Here is an 18,947-nt window from a genome sequence, read left to right as displayed (position 1 = left end):
CTGAAATACTTGTTTGTTTTGTATTGCTATAAACAGATTACCTTAGACTGAATACTTTATAACTATATATATATATAAAATCTATCTATCTCACAGTTCTGAAGGCTGAGAAGTTCAACATCAAGTTGCCAGCATCTGGTGAGGGCCTTCTTGCTGCATCATACCATATACCATGGCAGAAGGCAAAAGGGTAAGAGAGCACAAGAGAAGGGGAGAGCAAGACAGGACAGAACTCACTTCTATAACAAACCCACTCCCAAGATAACAACATTAATCCATGACCTAATAATCACCTCTTATTAGGCCCCACCTCCCAATGCTGTTGCATTGGGGATTAAGTTTCCAACACATGAACCATGGCAGACACATGCAAACCTTAACATTCCATCCTAGCACCCCAAAATTCATGTCCTTCTCACAATGCAAAATGCAAAGATTCCATCCCAATAATCTTAAAGTCTTAACTCATTCCAATATCAACTCAAAAGTCTAAAGTCTCATTTAAATCAGATATAGGTGAGACTCAAGGCATGATTCATCCTGAAGTATATTCCCTCCAAGTGTGAGCCTGTTAAAACAAGTTACCAACTTTCCAAAACACAAGGCACAGGCATAGGACAGACACTCTCATTCCAATAGGGATGAGGAAAAGAGGGGTAACTGGTGGTCCCAAGAAAAACAACAATAAGTCTTAAAGCTGGAGAAGAATCTCCTTTGACGCCATGTCCAAAATCCTGGGCACACTAGGACAGAGGCTGGGCCCACTGGGGAAAGGTTGGGCTCACAAAGGCCTCAGGCAGCCCTACCTCTATAGCTTTCCTAGACTCAGTCCACCCAGCAGCTCTCACAGGTTGGAGTCTTATGCCTGCAGCCTTTCCAGGGTGCAGTTATATGCTGGTGGCCCTATAGTTCTGTGGTCTTGGGGGCTGCTTCATTCCCACAGCTTCACTAGGCACTGCTCTAGTGGGAACTTTCAGTAGTGGCTCTGCCTCTCCTACACATCTCTGTCTGGGCCCCCCGCCTATCCATGACATCCTTTGAAATCTAGGTGGAGGCTGCCATGGCCCCATGGTTCTTGAATTTGGTGACAGAATTATCACCAAGTGTACACCACCAGAGTTTATGGCTTGTACCTTTCAGAGCAGCAGGTTCAGCAACACCTGGGCCCACTTGAGCCACAGCTAGGGCAGTGTTGCAACAGAATGCAGGGAACAGAGATAGGGGCAGCCCTAGGCATCAAGCCCATTAAAGGTGCCAAAGGGTGCCCTGGCCCTGACTCAAAATTGTTCTGTCTTCCTAGAGGTCTGCACCCGTGATGACAGGGATAGCCTTGAAGATCTCTGAAATGGCTTCAGAGTCATTCTCCCATTTTCTTGATGATAAGTACTTGGCTCCCTCCTATCCATACTAATCTCCTTAGCAAACAGTTACTTGGCCACACCCTTGGCTTGCTCTCTTAAACATGCCTTTTCACTCTTTACATAGCCAGACTGCAAATTTTCCAAATCTTTCCTTTCTGTTTCTCTTTTAATTATAAATCCAACTTTAAGTCATTTTTCTCCTCTCGCATCTTAATGTATGCAGTTACAAATAGCTATGTAGCTCTTTCAATATTTTGTTTAAAAATTTCTTCCACCAGATATCCTAGCTCATCACTCTTAAATTCTGCCTTCCATAAAGACCTAGGGCAAGGACACAGAACAGTCATGTTCTCTCCCACTTCATAACAAAGATGACCTTTACTCCTGTTTCCAGTAAGATATTTCTCTCTTCCATCTGAGAGCTCATCGGAATGGCCTTTACTATCCCTATTTCTACCAATATTTTGATCATGAACACTTAAGTAATCTCTAAGGTTTTCAGATTTTTTGATACACGTTTCCCCTTCTTCGGAGCTCTCACCAGAATCACCATTAATGCTCCATTTACCACAACTGGCTTTTCCTAGCCTGCTCCTCCAAATTCTTCTCTACCCATTACCCAGTTCCAAAGCTGCTTTAACATTTTCAGGTGTTTGTTACAGCAACAACCCCACTTCTTGGTAGCAATTTTCTGTCTTAATCCATTTTGTGTTGCTATACCACAATATCACAGATTGGGTAATTTATAAAGAAAAGAAATGTATTTCTCACAGTTCTGGGAGCTAGAAGTTCTGTATCAAGGTGCCATCATCTAGTGAGGGCCTTCTTGTTGCAGCACTGCATGGCAGAACATGGAAAGGCAGGAGAGCATGAGACAGGGAGACAGCAAGAGGGGGCCAAGCTCACTTTTATAACAAGCCCACTCACACAATACTAACCCACTCCTAAGATAATGACAAAAATCCATTCATGGCTGGGCATAGTGGCTCATGCCTATAATCCCAGCACTTTGGGAGGCCAAGGTGGACAGACTGCTTGAGCCCAGGAGTTTGAGACCAGCCTGGACAATATGGCAAAACCCATCTTTACAAAAAAACAAAAAAATTAGCCAGGCATGGTGGTGCACACCTGTAGTCCCAGCTACTTGGGAGGATGAGATGTGAGGATCGCTTGAGCCCAGGAAGTGGAAGTTGTAGTGAGCCCAGATCATGCCGCTACACTCCAGCCTAGGTGACAGAGTGAGACCGTCTCAACAAAGAAGAATAAAAGGAAAGTTTGGCCACCTAAACATTGGCTTTTCCTACTTTTTAACTAAATGATATCAGAAAGCTCAGTCACAGTAACAAAACACCTTTTTAATTCTAAAACTGTTTAAATATAAGGTCATATTATTAACATCTCATTGGAAAGGAAACTTCTGCCTATAAATGCACAATATCCAAAAGAGCAAAAAGTAATTTTAAAAAGAATTAAAATGGTCCTGGAAAAGGGGAGATGCTGGAAAGATTTGGGGAATTTAACTGAAAAAGTCCTCTTTGAACATAAGCCCTTATAATGATATAGTATCCCCAAAATTTCTCTATTTCAAGAGATATGACCAAATCTCAAGAAATGGAAATATCCTATATCCAACAAATAATCAAATGTAAGTCCCAAAATAAAAGAGTATAAATCTGAATTTACCTAACGGAGATATGCTAAACATGCTTTCTTTTAAAAATCATGGCTCACACCTGTAATGCCAACACTTTGGAAGGCTGACATGGGCAGTCACTTGAGGTCAGGAATTCGAGACCAGCCTGGCCAACATGGTGAAACCCCGCATCTAGTTAAAAACACAAAAATTAGCTGGGTGTGGTGCTGCATGCCTATAATCCCAGCTACTTGGGAGGCTGAGGAAGGAGAATTGCTTGAACCTGGGAGGCAGAGGTTGCAGTGAGCTGAAATTGCGCCACTGCACTCCAGCCTGGACAACAGAGTGAAACTCCATCTCAAAAAAAAAAAAAAAAAAAAATCAGTCAATATTTATTTACTTAGAATAGCTTGTATAGTTACATGGTTTAAAAAGAACTAAAATGGTAAATACAATGAAAAGACTTCCTGCCATCCCTATTTCATATCAACACAGTCTCCATCCCCACTACACTCCCAGGTAACCGCAGCTACTAATTTCTTATGCCTCCTTCAGAGTTTCTTTAGGCATAAACAAATAACAAACATAGATTCTTATTTTTCTCTCCTTTACAAGAAAGGTAGATTATTATACACATGGTGCTGTCTCCTGTTTGTTCTTTTATTAACCCAATAATTTATATCTTAGAAAATCTCCCATATCAGTATATAAACAGCTTCCTTATTCTTTTTACAGCCTTTTCAATGAAGTAACATCTCAAAAAGCCAGCCAATCATTTTATAACCTATTTTATATCCCTTTAATCATCCCAACAAATACATACATAATGTAGCTGCAATAAGAAACCTTTGGAATTTAAGAAAATCTTATCTAATATTTTTAGTCCTTTTTTTTGAGAGGGTCTCACTCTGTTGCCCAGGCTGGAATGCAGTGGTGCAATCATAGCTCACTACAGTCTCAAACTCCTGGGCTCAAGCAGCTGGGGCTACAGGCATGTACCACCATGCCTCGCTAATTTATTTTTATTTTTTTATTCTATTTTTTGTATCTTATTATTTTATATATATGCGCATATATATGTGTGTGTATATATATGTATATATATATGTGCATACATAGGTATATATATATGTGTATGTATATATCTTATTCTATCTTTAAAGAATTTTACTGGGCAAGGTGGCTCACACCTGTAATCCCAGTACTTGGGGAGTCTGAGGTGGGTAGATCACTTGAGCTCAGGAGTTCAAGACCAGCCTGGGCAACACAGCGAGACCCTATCTCTAAAAAAAATTAAAAATTAGCCAAGCATGGTGGTGCGTGCCTACAGTCCCAGCCACGAGGAAGGCCTAGGTGGGAAGATCGCTTGAGCCCAAGAAATCAAGACTGCAGTGAGCAGAGATAGAGCCACTGAGTTCTAACCTGTGCAACAAAGCAAGACCCTGTCTCAAAAAAAAAAAATTATTTAAGTTGAAATACCTACAAAGAATTGAACAAATCAAAAGTGTATAGCTTGATGAATCACCACCAGATGAACACACCCTTGTAACTACCACCCAGATCAAGATATATAAGATTAATAACACCTCACCTATCCAAGTTTTTAATATTTCATGCTTTATTAGTATTATCTAGGAAATATGTTATAGAAAATTAATAGTGTTGAAGCTGGGCATGGTGGTTCTTGCCTGTAAACCTGGCACTTTGGGAGGCCAAGGCAGGCAGATCGCTTGGGCCCAGGAGTTGGAGACCAGCCTGGGCAACCTGGCGAGATCCTGTTTCTACAAAACACAAAAATTAGCTGGGTGTGATGGTGTGCACCTGTAGTTCCAGCTACTCGGGAGACCAAGGTGGGCAGATGGCTTGAGCCCAGGAGGTCAAGGCTGCAGTGAGCAGTGATCATGCCACTGCACTCCAGCATGGGCAACAGAGCAAGACCCTGTCTCAAAAAAAAAAAGAAGGGAGGGGCAGGGCAATGTGAAAAAAAAAAGGGAACATTAATAGTGTTGATGTCCTAAAATTCCATTTAGAATGTAAATATAGTTAGGGAGGTTATGTTCTTACATTCCTTCTCAGGTGGCTTAACTTTTTTTATTTCTCTTTTAAAATTTTAATTAAGTTAAATATAAAAATAAATATAAGCATATAAATATGAATGAAACAATAAAAAAAAAGTCGGTGTACCCAACTGCCAGCTTGAGAAACTCCCTGCCCCTTCCATCATGGCAAGCACTAAGACTTAGTCATTCAGAGCACAGACTCAAGCCAGACTTGCTTGGATTTGATGATAAGGTCTACCACTTATTAGTGGTATAACTTTAGGAAGTTAAGGTTTTTCTGCTTCTTTATTTATAAATGAGAATAAAAATAGTGCCTGCATCACAGAAGTACTTGATTATGAGAATCAAATAAGTATTCATTTATAAAGTATTTAAAACATCTTGCAACATGTAATATATAAATTTAGCTATTTTTACATTAACTCTGCCTCCCCCACAAGGATTGCTTATCATTCTATTACTATATTTATAGCAAAACAGATATATCAGTACGTATGGTGATTTTTCATTTTTATTTTATTTTTGTTTTTTTTTTTTTTTTTGAAACAGGGTCTCACTCTGTTGCCCAGGCTGGAGTGTAGTGCAGCGATCTCAATTCACTGCAGCCTCAACTTCCTGGGCTCAAGCAATCCTCCCACCTCAGCCTCCTGAGTAGCTGGGACAAGAGGCACACATCAGCATGCTTGGCTAATTTTTTGTATATTTTGTAGAGATGGAGTTTCGCCATGTTGCCCAGGCTGGTCTTGAACTCCTGGGCTCAAGCAATCTACCTGCCTCAGCCTCCCAAAATGCTGAGAATACAAGTGTGAGCCACTGCGCCCAACTGATTTTTCAAATTTTATCTTAAATGACATCACAGTGTAAGTATTCTTTTGCACCTTGCTCTTTTTATTCAACATTTCTGAGATTGATCTGCATTGATATATGCAGCTATTGTTCATTCACGTTCAATACTGTACAGTACTCCGTGGTGTAATTTAACAGAAGTATGTACATATTCCTGTCAATGAACATTTGGATGTTTGCTATTATGAAAAATCCTACTATAAACATGCTTGAACACGTCTCCTGGCAAACATATAAAAAAAATTTCCTAGAGTATATACCTAGGAGAAGAACTGCTGGGTCAATAGATATACAGAAATTCAGCATTGTAACCATGTCACACTGTTTGTCAAAATGGTTATAACATTACATGATTCATTAGAAGAGAAGAAAGCCTTAACTCAATTACCTAAGATTCTAATTTGAGAAACTAGACAGCCTGGGCAACATACAGAGCCCCTATCTCTACCACAAATTTTAAAATTAGCCAGGCATGGTGGCATGCACCTGTAGTCCTAGCTACTCAGGAGGCTGAGGACGGGAAGATTGCTTGAGCCCAAGAGTTTGAGGCTGTGGTGAGCTATGATTGCACCACCACACTCCAGCTTGAATGACAACACAGCAAGGCCTGGTCTCAAAAAAAAAAAAAAAAAAAGAAAGAAAGAAAAGAGAAACTAGAAAAAGAGGAGGAAATTAAACACAAAGCAAGCAGAAACAAGGAAATAATAAAGAACAAAAATTCAGGAAATAGAAAATAGAAAAATAATAGAAAAAAATCTACCAAAAAAACCCTGATTCTTTAAGAAGAACAATAATGTTGATAAATCTCTAGCCAAAGTGTAATGGAAAAAAAAAAAGGCACACATTACCAACATTGAGAATAAGAGAGGTAATGACACAGCACCACAGATTCTACAGATACTAAAAGTATAACAAGGTAATATTATGAATAATTTTATAATAAAGTCAAGAACTTAGATGAAACAGACAAATTTCCTGAAAGATACAAAATATCAAAGTTAACTCAAGAAAAAATAGATGACTAGAAAAGCTCTGTTTCTATTAAAGAAATTGAACTTATAGTTTACAACATTCCACAGAACATAAATAGGTCCAGATGGCTTCCTTTGGTAAATTCTCACAAGCATTTAAGACGAATACTTCATGAACAGAGATACAAAAATCCTTAACAAAATATAAGCAAATCAAATCCAGCAATATATAAAAGGGATAATACATCACAACCAAGTGTAGTTTATCTCAGGAATGCAAACTTGGCTTAACATTCAAAAATCAATCAATGAAATTCACCATATCAACAACAAAGTATGAGAGTTGCTACTGCTCTACGGTATCACTCACACTTGATATTATCCAAGTTTTTAATTGAGTAGAAACGGCATCTCATGGTTTAAGTTTACACTTCCTTACTTATGTTGAAAGTTGAGCATTTGTTTATTGCTGCATCTTATTTATTCGGTGAAATTCTTATGTGTGTCTTTTGACTGTTTCTTTTCTGTTGGGTTGTCTTTTATTTAAACAACTTATTTCTATTTTCTGAATACTAACCTTTTGCAAGTGATATATGTTTTACAAATATATTTGCCAATTTTTTTCTTCTGAACTTTTCTTATTCTTTTTTTTTTAAGCTGCCTAGGCTGGAATACAGTGGTGATTCACAGGCACCATCAAAGCACATTACAGCCTCAAACTCCTGGGCTCAAGCAGTCCTCCCGTCTTAGCCCCCAAGTAGCTGGGACTACAAAGCAAGTGCCACTGCGCCTGGCTATTCTATCTTCCAATGAATAAAATTAATTTTTAATGTATTTGAATGTATTAATCTTTTCCCTCAATGTATGCTTCCTGTAAATTATTATAGCCTCCCTGAATTCAAGGTCATAAGGATGTTATCCTATATCTTCTTCTAAGAGGTTTTTTTAAAAAAGTCAAATTTCTTTTTTTAAAATTTTATTATTATTATACTTTAAGTTTTAGGGTACATGTGCACAATGTGCAGGTTAGTTACATATGTATACATGTGCCCTGCTGGTGTGCTGCACCCATTAACTCGTCATTTAGCATTAGGTATATATCCTAATGCTATCCCTCCCCCCTCCCCCCAAAAAAAGTCAAATTTCTTACGCTAGTACTTCCATAATTTCTTTGGAGAAAGGTATTGTGTTGGCAATAATTTTTTTTAACCATCTACTACATGACAGGCACTATACCTATACTGTCGGGCCACAAGGTAGCATAGTCTATTACAGTTACTTTTAAGGAGATTTTAAGCTAATTAGGGCCATAATAATCAAATAATTTACCCAGAACCATATATAATTAAGGGTTAAGTGAAGTGTTAAACATGATCAAAGTTCAAAATATTAAGAGAATAAACAAATCAGGCCAGGCACAGTGGCTCACACCTGTAATCCCAGCACTTTGGGAGGCTGAGGCAGGTGGATCACCTGAGGTCAGGAGTTCAAGATAGCCTGACCAACATGGTGAAACCCTGTCTCTACTAAATACAAAAAATTAGCCAGGAGTGGTGGCACCCACCTGTAATCCCAGCTATTTGGGAGGCTGAGGCTGGAGAATCACTTGAACCTGAGAGGTGGAGGTTGCAGTGAGCCAAGATTGCGCCACTGCACTCCAGCCTGGGCAACAAGAGCGAAACTCTATCTCAAAAAAAAAAAAAAAAAAAAAGAGAGAGAGAGAGAGAAGGGACAAATCAGGGAGAATTGTGGAAATTGGTAAAATTTCACAAAGAAAGCATTAAACGATCACTTATTTGATCTATCACTCAATTCTGATTTAGAATAAAACAAAAATCCATAGAATTTGCCCAAAACATATCCACACTTAAAACAGCCAACAGATAAGAACCACAAAGTCTGAATTAGTACAAAACTCTAATGTGAAAGCAACAGAAATGGGAAATATAATGAAGGTAACAATGTTAAATGTATAAACATTATATAAATTTTCATTTTCTGTACCTACAGCACTTAATAACTAAGATTTACCCAGCCCAACCAACTCCAAAGACAACCAGAAAATTCAAAGTTCAAAAATAAAGAAAGCTTAAGTGAGTGGAATAACAACTAACTGCTACTATTATCAAAGTAGCACATAGTCATAAAACTGAAACTATGGCATTGATTCCAGAAGGGAGAATGAGTATCCTTTTCCACAAATCTATTTAATTTTTTTAAATTATTTAAAAAATTGGCCCGGCGTGGTGGCTCACGCCTATAATCCCAACACTTTGGGAGGCCGAGGCAGCTGGATCACCTGAGGTTAGGAGTTTGAGACCAGCCTGGCCAACATGGTAAAACGCCATCTCTACTAAAAATACAAAAAGTAGTCAGGTGTGGTGGTGGGCGCCTGTAATCCCAGTTACTTGGGAGCCTCAGGCAATAGATCACTTGAACCCGGGAGGCAGAGGTTGCAGTGAGCCAAGACTGCACCACTGCACTCCAGCCTGGGCAACAAGAGCGACACTCCGTCTCAACAATAATCATAATAACAATTTTTTTGAGATAGGGTCTTGTTCTGTCTCCCAGGCTGGAGTGCAGTGGCGCGATCATAGCTCACTGCAGCCCCCCAACTCCCAGGCTCAAGCTATCTTCTGCACTCAGCCTCCCTCAAGCAGCCGGGACTACAGGCATACACCACCACGCCCGGCTCTTTTTTTTTTTTTTTTTTTTTTTTTTTTTGTACCAACAGGGTTTCACTTTGTTGCTCAGGCTGGTCTTGAATTCCTGGGCTCAAGTAATCCTCCTGCCTCAGCCTTCCAAAGTGTTGGAATTACAGGCGTAAGCCAATATGCCTGGCCCAGCCACAAGTATTTTTAAAGTGGCTGAACTTGAAAAATACAAAGTTTTCGCCGGGCGCGGTGGCCCACGCCTGTAATCCCAGCACTTTGGGAGGCCGGGGTGGGCGGATCACAAGGTCAGGAGATCGAGACCACGGTGAAACCCCGTCTCTACTAAAAATACAAAAAAATTAGCCGGGGGCAGTGGTGGGCGCCTGTAGTCCCAGCTACTCGGGGGCTGAGGCAGGAAAATGGCGTGAACCCAGGAGGCGGAGCTTGCAGTGAGCCGAGATCGCGCCACTGTACTCCGGCCTGGGCGACAGAGCGAGACTCCGTCTCAAAAAAAAAAAAGAAAAATATAAAGTTTTCTTATCCAATCCCAACATTCAGATACCAAAACTCCAAATATTTGGTTTGGGGAATAATATTTTGGCAGCAGGACTTAAATATCAGGAGTAAACATTTTTCTATACAAAATGTTTAACTTTGCATTTAAGTATATATATGAATACATATTAATGCTTAAATATATGAAGCACAATCATCAGACCTACAACAAGGCAGCCATGTTAAAAATAATTGTCTGTTGGCCGGGCGCAATGGCTCACACCTGTAATCCCAGCATTTTGGGAGGCTGAGGCGGGTGGATCACAAGGTCAGGAGTTCAAGACCAGCCTGGCCAACATGATGAAAGCCCAGTCTCTACTAAAAACGCAAAAATTAGCCGGGTGTGGTGATGCATGCCTGTAATGCCCGCTACATGGGAGGCTGAGGCAGAAGAATTGCTTGAACCCAGGAAGCAGAGGTTGCAGTGAGCCAAGATCATGCCACTGCACTCCAGCCTGGGGGACAGAGTAAGACTTCGTCTCAATAATAATAATAATAATAATAATAATAATAATTGTCTATTAAAGTCTAATTTCTCTTGTGCCTAAGACTACATACCACTATGACAAAGCAATAATAATAAAGATTAGTGAAAGGAGACAGTAATAACAACTAATTTTCATAATAATACTAACACCTAATGTTTGAAGTACTTTTTAATCATTTTTTCACACATTATTCAAAAAGTTTACCTATTTTTATATCAGCTTTCAAAATAGCTGCAGCTAAAATAAAGGATAAAATTTTAATACAGTTCTCAAATCAGGGAAGTGGGTAAAAAAACTATTAAAACCAACAAACTTAACTGCTGCTCATCTTAAAACTCTGCCTCCACACAACTGGCAATTATAAATAAACCTCAGTTTAGAGTATCAGTTTAAAATGGTAAGACTAGTACTACTACATAGGTGTTATGTTTTAAAATATATTTCATACTGAAGTTCTGAAGCAGTTTCTATCATTTAATACCTACCTTTTGCTTGGACAATTACATACAATATTTTCATCATAATCCTTTTAACTTCTTTCATTGTTTTATTCAAAGTATTAAATCTATACTTCTGGCAATATCAGAAATAGTATTTAAATGAGCTTACTGCAGTATTTTAAATGATATAAAAAACCTTAAAAATGCACACAAGTGCAGTCTTTTAATATGCCAAGATAAAAATAATCTTGAAAATAAGAAACATCCTATTTTCCAATACGTAGGTAGTTTTTAAAAATAAAAGAAAATAAATTATATTAATACTTCGGAATCTTCAAATCTTGTCTGCTCACTATACTTATGAAACCAATCTTTATCATTTTACAATCACTCTAATATGAAGTCAGAATGCTAAAGCAGACAGGTGTTTCATAACCCACCTTAGGACATACTAGTTTAGTTATTGGGTTATCGAGATGAATTAAGTGGAGGCATTGCTTTCCCCACAGTTGCAACTCCAAGATTCTTAGCCCCCAAAGTTTATGCCTTGATTTCCTAAAGGTTTTTGCCCTATGGTCCCATCAACCCTGTACAGAAAGTCCTCACTTAACATAGTCATGGATAGGTTTTTGGAAACAGTGATTTTAAGTAAAATGACATATTGTATAAAGAAACCAATTTTACCAATTTTACCATAGGCTAATTAATATAAACAAGAATTAAGTTCCTACAGCATATAGTACATGATGTGGCTTAGTCTCACAGTTTCCAAGAACCTATTGATGACACTGATGTTGAGGACTTACTTATCTCCACCGCTTACCTGAAATGCAGTCTAACTGAGGTTCAACTCTGTCATTTAATCTAAACCATCTGGTGGTAATCCAGTAACAGGGCTCCTTAAAATACAAACTCTACTTGGAGGAAACACTGGTCATTTTCTTGGATGCTGGCATCTCAACCCACTGGCTATTACTGGATAATTATCCAACTTGGTGGGAGGCAAAGCCTATCCCCCCACTAAAAGCTGAAATGACACACGCTGTCGTTTATAGCTTCCTTTGAAGCTAAGTCATGGTCATGTACCTAGGCTCAACCAAACATACAAGCTTAGCACTTTACATCAGGAGTTAGTGTCACAAAGAAACATGATGGTAGGCTGGGCGTGATGGCTCACACCTGTAATCCCAGCACTTTGGGAGGCCGAGGCGGGCGGATCACCTAAGGTCCGGAGTTCAAGACCAGCCTGACCAACATGGAGAAACCCTGTCTCTACTAAAAATACAAAATTAGCCAGGCGTGGTGGCGCATGCCTGTAATCCCAGCTACTCGGGAGGCTGAAGCAGGAGAATCGATTAAACCTGGGAGGCAAAGGTTGCGGTGAGCCGAGATCATGCCACTGCACTCCAGCCTGGGCAACAAGAGTGAAACTCCATCTCAAAAAAAAAAAATTAAAAAAAAGAAACATGATGGTAGATTTATCTGGTGGCAGAGCAGAAGCATCATCACCCACTTTTCAGAAGCAGCAATAACAACAGTGCCAAAGGCATCATCCAATATCAAATGTCAACATTATAAGCTGAGGTATAAGTGCTCAAGAAATGCAGCAGCCATGTCTGCACAACGCCACTTCTGTGGCACGATTTTGGCTGTGACTCCAGCATCGGTTTCCAAACTGAATCCCAGCCTTTCAACGATTCTGAAAACAACCCAATCCCCTTTCAACATACTGCTATTCTTCTTAAATCAGCTATCAACAATGTCTGTGGCATATAACTAAAACCTCAACTGATAAAATGTTCTTCCAGACTCAACTGCCTCCTGACTGTTCTTCTGGGGAATGCCTTTCAATACAGACCTTTATACACCAAGGACATATACACCAAGGACACCTGTTATTCTCTACCCTAAATCTTCAGGGTCCAATTCAAGTCCCCCTTACATGACAAACAAGCCTTCTCAATCTTGATCACATAGTGCTCTTAATTCTTCCTTAATTCTTTATGGGAGTTAGCTTTAGCTTTCCAATTAAACGAGAAACTCCTTGAAGACTGAAGTAATATCGTAATTTCACCATGTTCTATGGTGCCTGATAAGAGCATTATAGGTTCTTTTATATTTTTCCTAACTGACTGACTAGATTCTTGTAATTTACCCAACTTCTTTAATTTCAAATCTTCAAGTAAGGCGGATCTTAAGTATGCTACTGATTTTATTGCTTTAACAGGGAAACTGTACAAACTTAGTAGAAGTGGATAACACGCATTAATCAACAGATGATTTCTTTAACATATTCAAAAAAGTTTCACGCATTCAAAAAAGAATTTACTTAGTTTAGGGAACTCAAAAGATATATTCAAAGAAGAAATTTTTTCAACAATGAAAAAGCACATTTACAAAAAATAAGGCCAAGTACAGTGGGTCATGCCTATAATCCCAGCAGTCTGGGAGGCCAAGGTGGGGGGATCATTTGAGCCCAAAGTTCAAGGTTACAATTAGCTGTGACTGCACCGTATTCCAGCCTGGGCAACAGAACAAGACCCTGTCTAAAAAAAAAGAAGAAAAAGGCCAGGTGCAGTGGCTCATGCCTGTAATCCCAACACTTTGGGAAGGCAAGGCAGGGGGATTACTTGAGCTCAGGAGTTTGAGACCAGCCTGGGCAACATGGCGAGATTCCATCTCTATAAAAAATTTTAAAGTTAGCTAGGCATGGTGGCATACACCTGTGGTCCCATATACTCGGGAGGCTGAGGACGGGGGATTGCTTGAGCCTAGGCAGGGTTGGGTTGAGGCCGTAGTGAGCTGTGATCCACCATTGCACTCCAGCTTGGGTGACAGAGTAAGTCTCTCTCCCTCTCTCTCTCTCTCTCTCTCTCAAAGGAGGAGGAGGAGGAGAAAGAGAAGGGAGGAGAGGAGAGGGGAGGGGAGGGGAGGGGAGGGGAGGGGAGGGGAGAGCAGAGGGAGGAGCAGGAGCAGCATACAGGAGAGGAGTTTGCGTAAGTAATACAGGTTGAGCAACCCAAATCTGAAAATTTGAAATCTGAAATCTGAAAGGTTCCAATGAGCATTTCCTTTGAGTACTATGTCAGTACTCAAAAAGTTCTGAATTTTGGAGCAAATTGATTACAGATTTTTGAATTAGGAATGTTCAACTGGTAAGTGTAAGTATAATGCAAATATTCCAAAATCCTAAAAAATCTGGAATCCAAAAAACTTCTGATCTCAGGCATTTTTGATAAGGGATATTCAACTGGTATTACTATACAAACACACCAACCAAAAAAGAAAGAAAAATTCTAACAGCCACAAGCTATTGACTGCCTATCCTGTGCCAGGTATTCTGCTAAGTGCTTTACAATTCTCATCAAATGTTTACAAAAGTCCCATGAAGTAAATACGATTATTAGCCTCCTTTTACATATGAGGAAAACTGAAAACACAGAGACTCCCCAAGGTCACATATCTGGCAAGCAATGGAGCCAGGATTCCAATACCAGTAGTCCAACTCCAAAATCTTTGACTACACTGCCTCCCTTAAGGCATCTGCCTTCAGTTCTCGACTACCCCCAAAGAACTGACAGCAGCTCTATTTTCTTCCCCCCAATTTTGTCAACTTCTGGGTTTGCATTCCCAGAATACATCACTCTCTTTCAGGCTTTTCTGCCTTAAACATATGCTTCCAGCTAGAATGCATTGCTCTTTTTTATCCAGCTAGCAAAGCCCTACTCACTCTTCAAACAGTGGCTTAAAAACAACTTTCTCTGTGAAGCTCTCTTCTTTGCTCCCACATTTTCTGCCCCCAATCCTGGGGGAAGGAATACATCACTCTCTTAGCTCCCTGGAAACAATGATTCACAGATGCTACTATTGTTTGACTTATTTGTATCGTAATTATATTTTTCCAGGATTATGTGCTGGACACCACACCGCACTGCAAGAATGAGACACTCAGATACTAAAGACTAAGAATGCATAATGGCCCCAGTTTGGGTTCAGCTACAATTTAAATGAATACTGTCTTCTAATCAAACTAGTACAGTTCATCCTAACAATACTTTACTGCTTCTATGTATGTGCCTGCATACATCAAAGATTCCTTGGTAAGTAAAATCAATCTTATGCTGAACTGATTGAGGTGCAGATCGAGACTTTTAAACTATATCTTAACCATTTCTCTCAATTCTCACATTAATACTCTGGCACTACAACTTCTCAATAACACCAAAATTGTGCCTAGAAACAAATATTTCAAGATTGGAAACGTACTATCTATATACTACATTTGTTAAAACAAAGGTCCAACCAAGAGTAAGACATTCACAATAAGGAAGCAGAGAGAAAAATCAAACTATATGGTACTTCAAAAGTTGCTCTGTTAATCCTACCTACCTTGAATACTCACTCACTGTCTTCTACTTCCTATATCCCAAGCTGCTTTCACTAAGCTATTACTTCATCTAACATTCCTTTTTGGGCCTAGGTGCGGTAGCTCACCCTGTAATCCTAACACTTTGGGAGCCTGAGGTGGGAGGGTTGCTTGAGCCCAGGAATTTGAGACCAGCCGGGCAACATAGTGAGACCTTGTGTCTTAAAAAAAAAAATCCAGCCGGGCGCGGTGGCTCATGCCTGTAATCCCAGCACTTTGGGAGGCCAAGGCGGGCGGATCACGAGGTCAGGAGATCGAGACCATCCTGGCTAACACGGTGAAACCCCATCTCTACTAAAAATACAAGAAACTGGCTGGGCGTGGTGACAGGCGCCCTGTAGTCCCAGCTACTCAGGAGGCTGAGGCAGGAGAATGGCGTGAACCCAGGAGGCAGAGCTTGCAGTGAGCCAAGATCGCGCCACTGCACTCCAGCCTGGGCAACAGAGCAAGACTCCATCTCAAAAAAAAAATAAAATAAAATGAAAATCCTTTTTGGAGATATAATTCAAACACCATACAATTGCCAATTTAAGTATACAATTCAGAGTTGTGCAACCATCGCCACAATCAATTTTACATTTTCATCATCCCAAAAAGAAACTCGTACCAATTTGGCAGTCATATCCTATGTTAGTCAAGGCTCTAGAAAAACAGAACCGATTGCATGTACATTTATATAGAGAGATTTATCTAATGGAATTGGCTCACGCAACTGGGGTGGGGGGTGCTGGCAAGTATGAAATTGGCGGGGCATATCATTAGACTAGGGATTCAGGGAAGAGCTGTTGTGTAGTCTTGAGTCCAACAGCTTTGTGAGGGCAAAATTCCTAACTTCAGGGGGACCTCAGTCTTTTTTTTTAAGGCCTTCGACTGATTAGAGAGGCCCACCCACATTATGGAGGGTAATATGCTTTACTCAAAGTATAATGGTATAAATGTTAGTCACATCTAAGAAATACTTTCACAGGAATATCAGGTTGGTGTTTGACCAAAAGTTGGTCAAGTGAAAAACTGATACCACAGCCTAGCCACACTGACATAAAATTAACCATCACATTCCTAATTACCCTCAGCCCCTAGAAACCACCAATCTTTGTTTCTATGAATTTACCTATTCTACACATTTCATATAAACAGTTGCCCAGGCTGAACTTGAAATCCTGGCCTCAAGCAATCTTCCTGCCTCAGCCTCCCAAAGTGCTAGGATTACAGGTGTGAGCCACCACACCTGGCCTGCTTGACTTTTTATGAGAATGTATTCCTGTTATTTGTATAAGTAAAAAATAAGAAAAGCTTGAAAGTCTATATTGGAAAATCCTTTCTGCTTGGCTCAGCTAGAATAAGTCAGTACTTATATATAAATAAAACTGTAAGCCTGAAAATATTGAGAAAATCTTAACACACAGTTTCTATGTGCTTAAATTTAAAATCCAACCCAAATTGTATACTTGACAAAAGATACAGTACTAACCACCAAACACGTCCATATTTTCAAGTGCCTATATAAGCTTTCCTTCTTTTCTTTACATTTGTCAGCTACTCTCTTATAAAGCATGAAAAATGTACATGGCCAAACAAGTTTTTCCAAGGCTGTTTCATTCATTTTCATATATACCCAAAGCCAAATCAGTTTGCCTGAATGCAAGCCCAAGAAAAAATATTGTATTTCTAGGAGTAGTAGAGGTAAGTTTTTAAAAATGTTAGCTGACTCAGAGAAATAATTAACTTGAGTTATTTCAGTCTTTGAAAGTCCGTAATATGACAAGTTTCGGTTATACATCAAAAAGCAATAGCTTAGATTACCTTTCAAGAGAGCAAAAGACAGATTTTCATAATAATTGCTCAGTCCCTAAGAAGACAGTTCAGAATAAATGTCTAATAGTTGGCTTTCATTTTGGGGGGAAAAAAACTCCCATAGTTACCACTAGATGATCTTGTACAAATAACCTCTAAACATCAAACTCTTTTTGGACAAAAGCGAGCCAGACTGCAGCTGTTTTACTTACCTTCTAAGAGTGTTATATAGACCAAATGAAACAAGAAAGCACTCTGATTATTCTAAAACCTTTTAAAATTATTTTGTGTGAAATTGTAATAGTTCATATATATAATTTCATATCACCAATCACAAGATTTGGATCTACGATCCAAAAACACTTAGCAAAATGTTTTGCAAACTGCAAGCTCTCAATAAATAATGACTTATACAAAGACTACATATTGATAATTGAGTCCATGATCTCAAATTGAGAACTAACTTGAATGACTTTCTGCCCTTTAACACTGCACAGGTTTGCAGAAATACAAACCGCTCCATTGTTCACATTTCCCTCATTCAAACATGAATGTAGTGCCTATTCTCTTGCTCTCAAGAGTTCACATCTGATGGGACAGTAGTACATTTGCATCATAGTTATTTTGTTGTTTATGTCCCATAATGAAATTATATACAGGCCGGGTGCAGTGGCTCACACCTGTAATCCCAGCACTTTGGGAGGCTGAGGCAGGTGGATTGCTTGAGGCCAGGAGTTCGAGATCAGCCTGGGCAACATGGTGAAATCCCATCTCTACTAAAAATACAAAAATTAGCCAGGTGTGCTGGGGGGTGCCTGTCATCCCAGCTACTTGAGAGGCTGAGGCAGGAGAACTGCTTGAACCCATGAGGTGGAGGCTGCAGTAAGCCAAGATCACACCACTACACTCTAGCCTGGGTGACAGAGAGGGACCCTGTCTCAAAAATAAAAATAAAAATAAATTTAAAAAAAAGAAATAAAGAAATTATACACAAAGTTAAATGGAAGTATAGAGGAAGAAGCAATTAATTCTTCAGTTAAAGGGAGTCAGGGAAGGTTTCACATTGGAACTGAGCCTTAAGGGATGACAAGAAGAGGTCATTCTAGAAGACAAAACAGCAAAAAAAGGCACTTGTTCTAGAAACAGTGAACACTGTCATACAGCTAGTACACAAAGTTTGGGGTGAAGAAAAAACAGTAATAAAAGAGAGAGCTAGAAAAAAAGAAAATAAGATATAGATTTTAATGCTAAAAATTAATGAGGCAACGTCAAAGATTTTTAAGCAAAGGTGTAACTATTTATCTACCTATATAGTGTCAGTAAGAGAAGCATGTACCTGAGAAGAGGAAAGAGTCTGGACTGTAAACTTAGAACGTTTCAGCCGCTAATAAATGCCACCATTTTTCTTGATTCAAGTAACTATGAAGTAACTGACATATATTAAGAGTTAACTTCACAATCTTTTCACTTAAAACTCTAAATGACATTCTCTTCCCTACTTACCAAAAAGAATAAATACTAAGCTCTAGCAGAAATATCACTTAAGAAAACCAGACAGGTAGACTGGGTGTGGTGGCTCACGCCTGTAATCCCAGCACTTTGGGAGGCTGAGGCAGGCGGATCACGAGGTCAGGAAATCGAGACCATCCTGGCTAACACGGTGAAACCCTGTCTCTACTAAAAATACAAAAAAAAAAAAAAAAAAAAAAAATTAGCCGG

General features: G+C 39.4%; 1 protein-coding gene across 48 annotated transcripts in view, besides 1 other annotated feature; it reads right to left on the bottom strand.

Annotated features, from left to right (window-relative positions):
* The window catches only part of SLMAP (sarcolemma associated protein), a 173,705-nt gene that overhangs the window by 144,909 nt on the left and 9,849 nt on the right, over positions 1 to 18,947 (bottom strand). Inside the window, exon 2 of one of the 48 annotated variants that reach the window (XM_047448894.1) lies at positions 2,133 to 2,198. The exons of the other annotated variants lie outside the window; for them this stretch is intronic. The gene's annotated coding sequence lies outside the window, so the exon portion shown is untranslated. The remainder of the gene's footprint in view (positions 1 to 2,132; positions 2,199 to 18,947) is intronic. 48 annotated transcript variants of the gene reach the window in all.
* Positions 6,376 to 6,576: a silencer, noted in NCBI's record as "peak4671 fragment used in MPRA reporter construct". NCBI's record gives its function as "represses an SCP1 promoter by STARR-seq MPRAs in K562 erythroleukemia cells {active_cell/tissue: K562}" and the evidence as "EXISTENCE:reporter gene assay evidence [ECO:0000049][PMID:32103011]".

This window comes from Homo sapiens, chromosome 3, assembly GCF_000001405.40.
Source record: "Homo sapiens chromosome 3, GRCh38.p14 Primary Assembly".
Taxonomy (NCBI): domain Eukaryota; kingdom Metazoa; phylum Chordata; class Mammalia; order Primates; family Hominidae; genus Homo; species Homo sapiens.
Note: the sequence above shows the minus strand (reverse complement) of the source record. Positions and strands in the feature narration are given on the sequence as shown.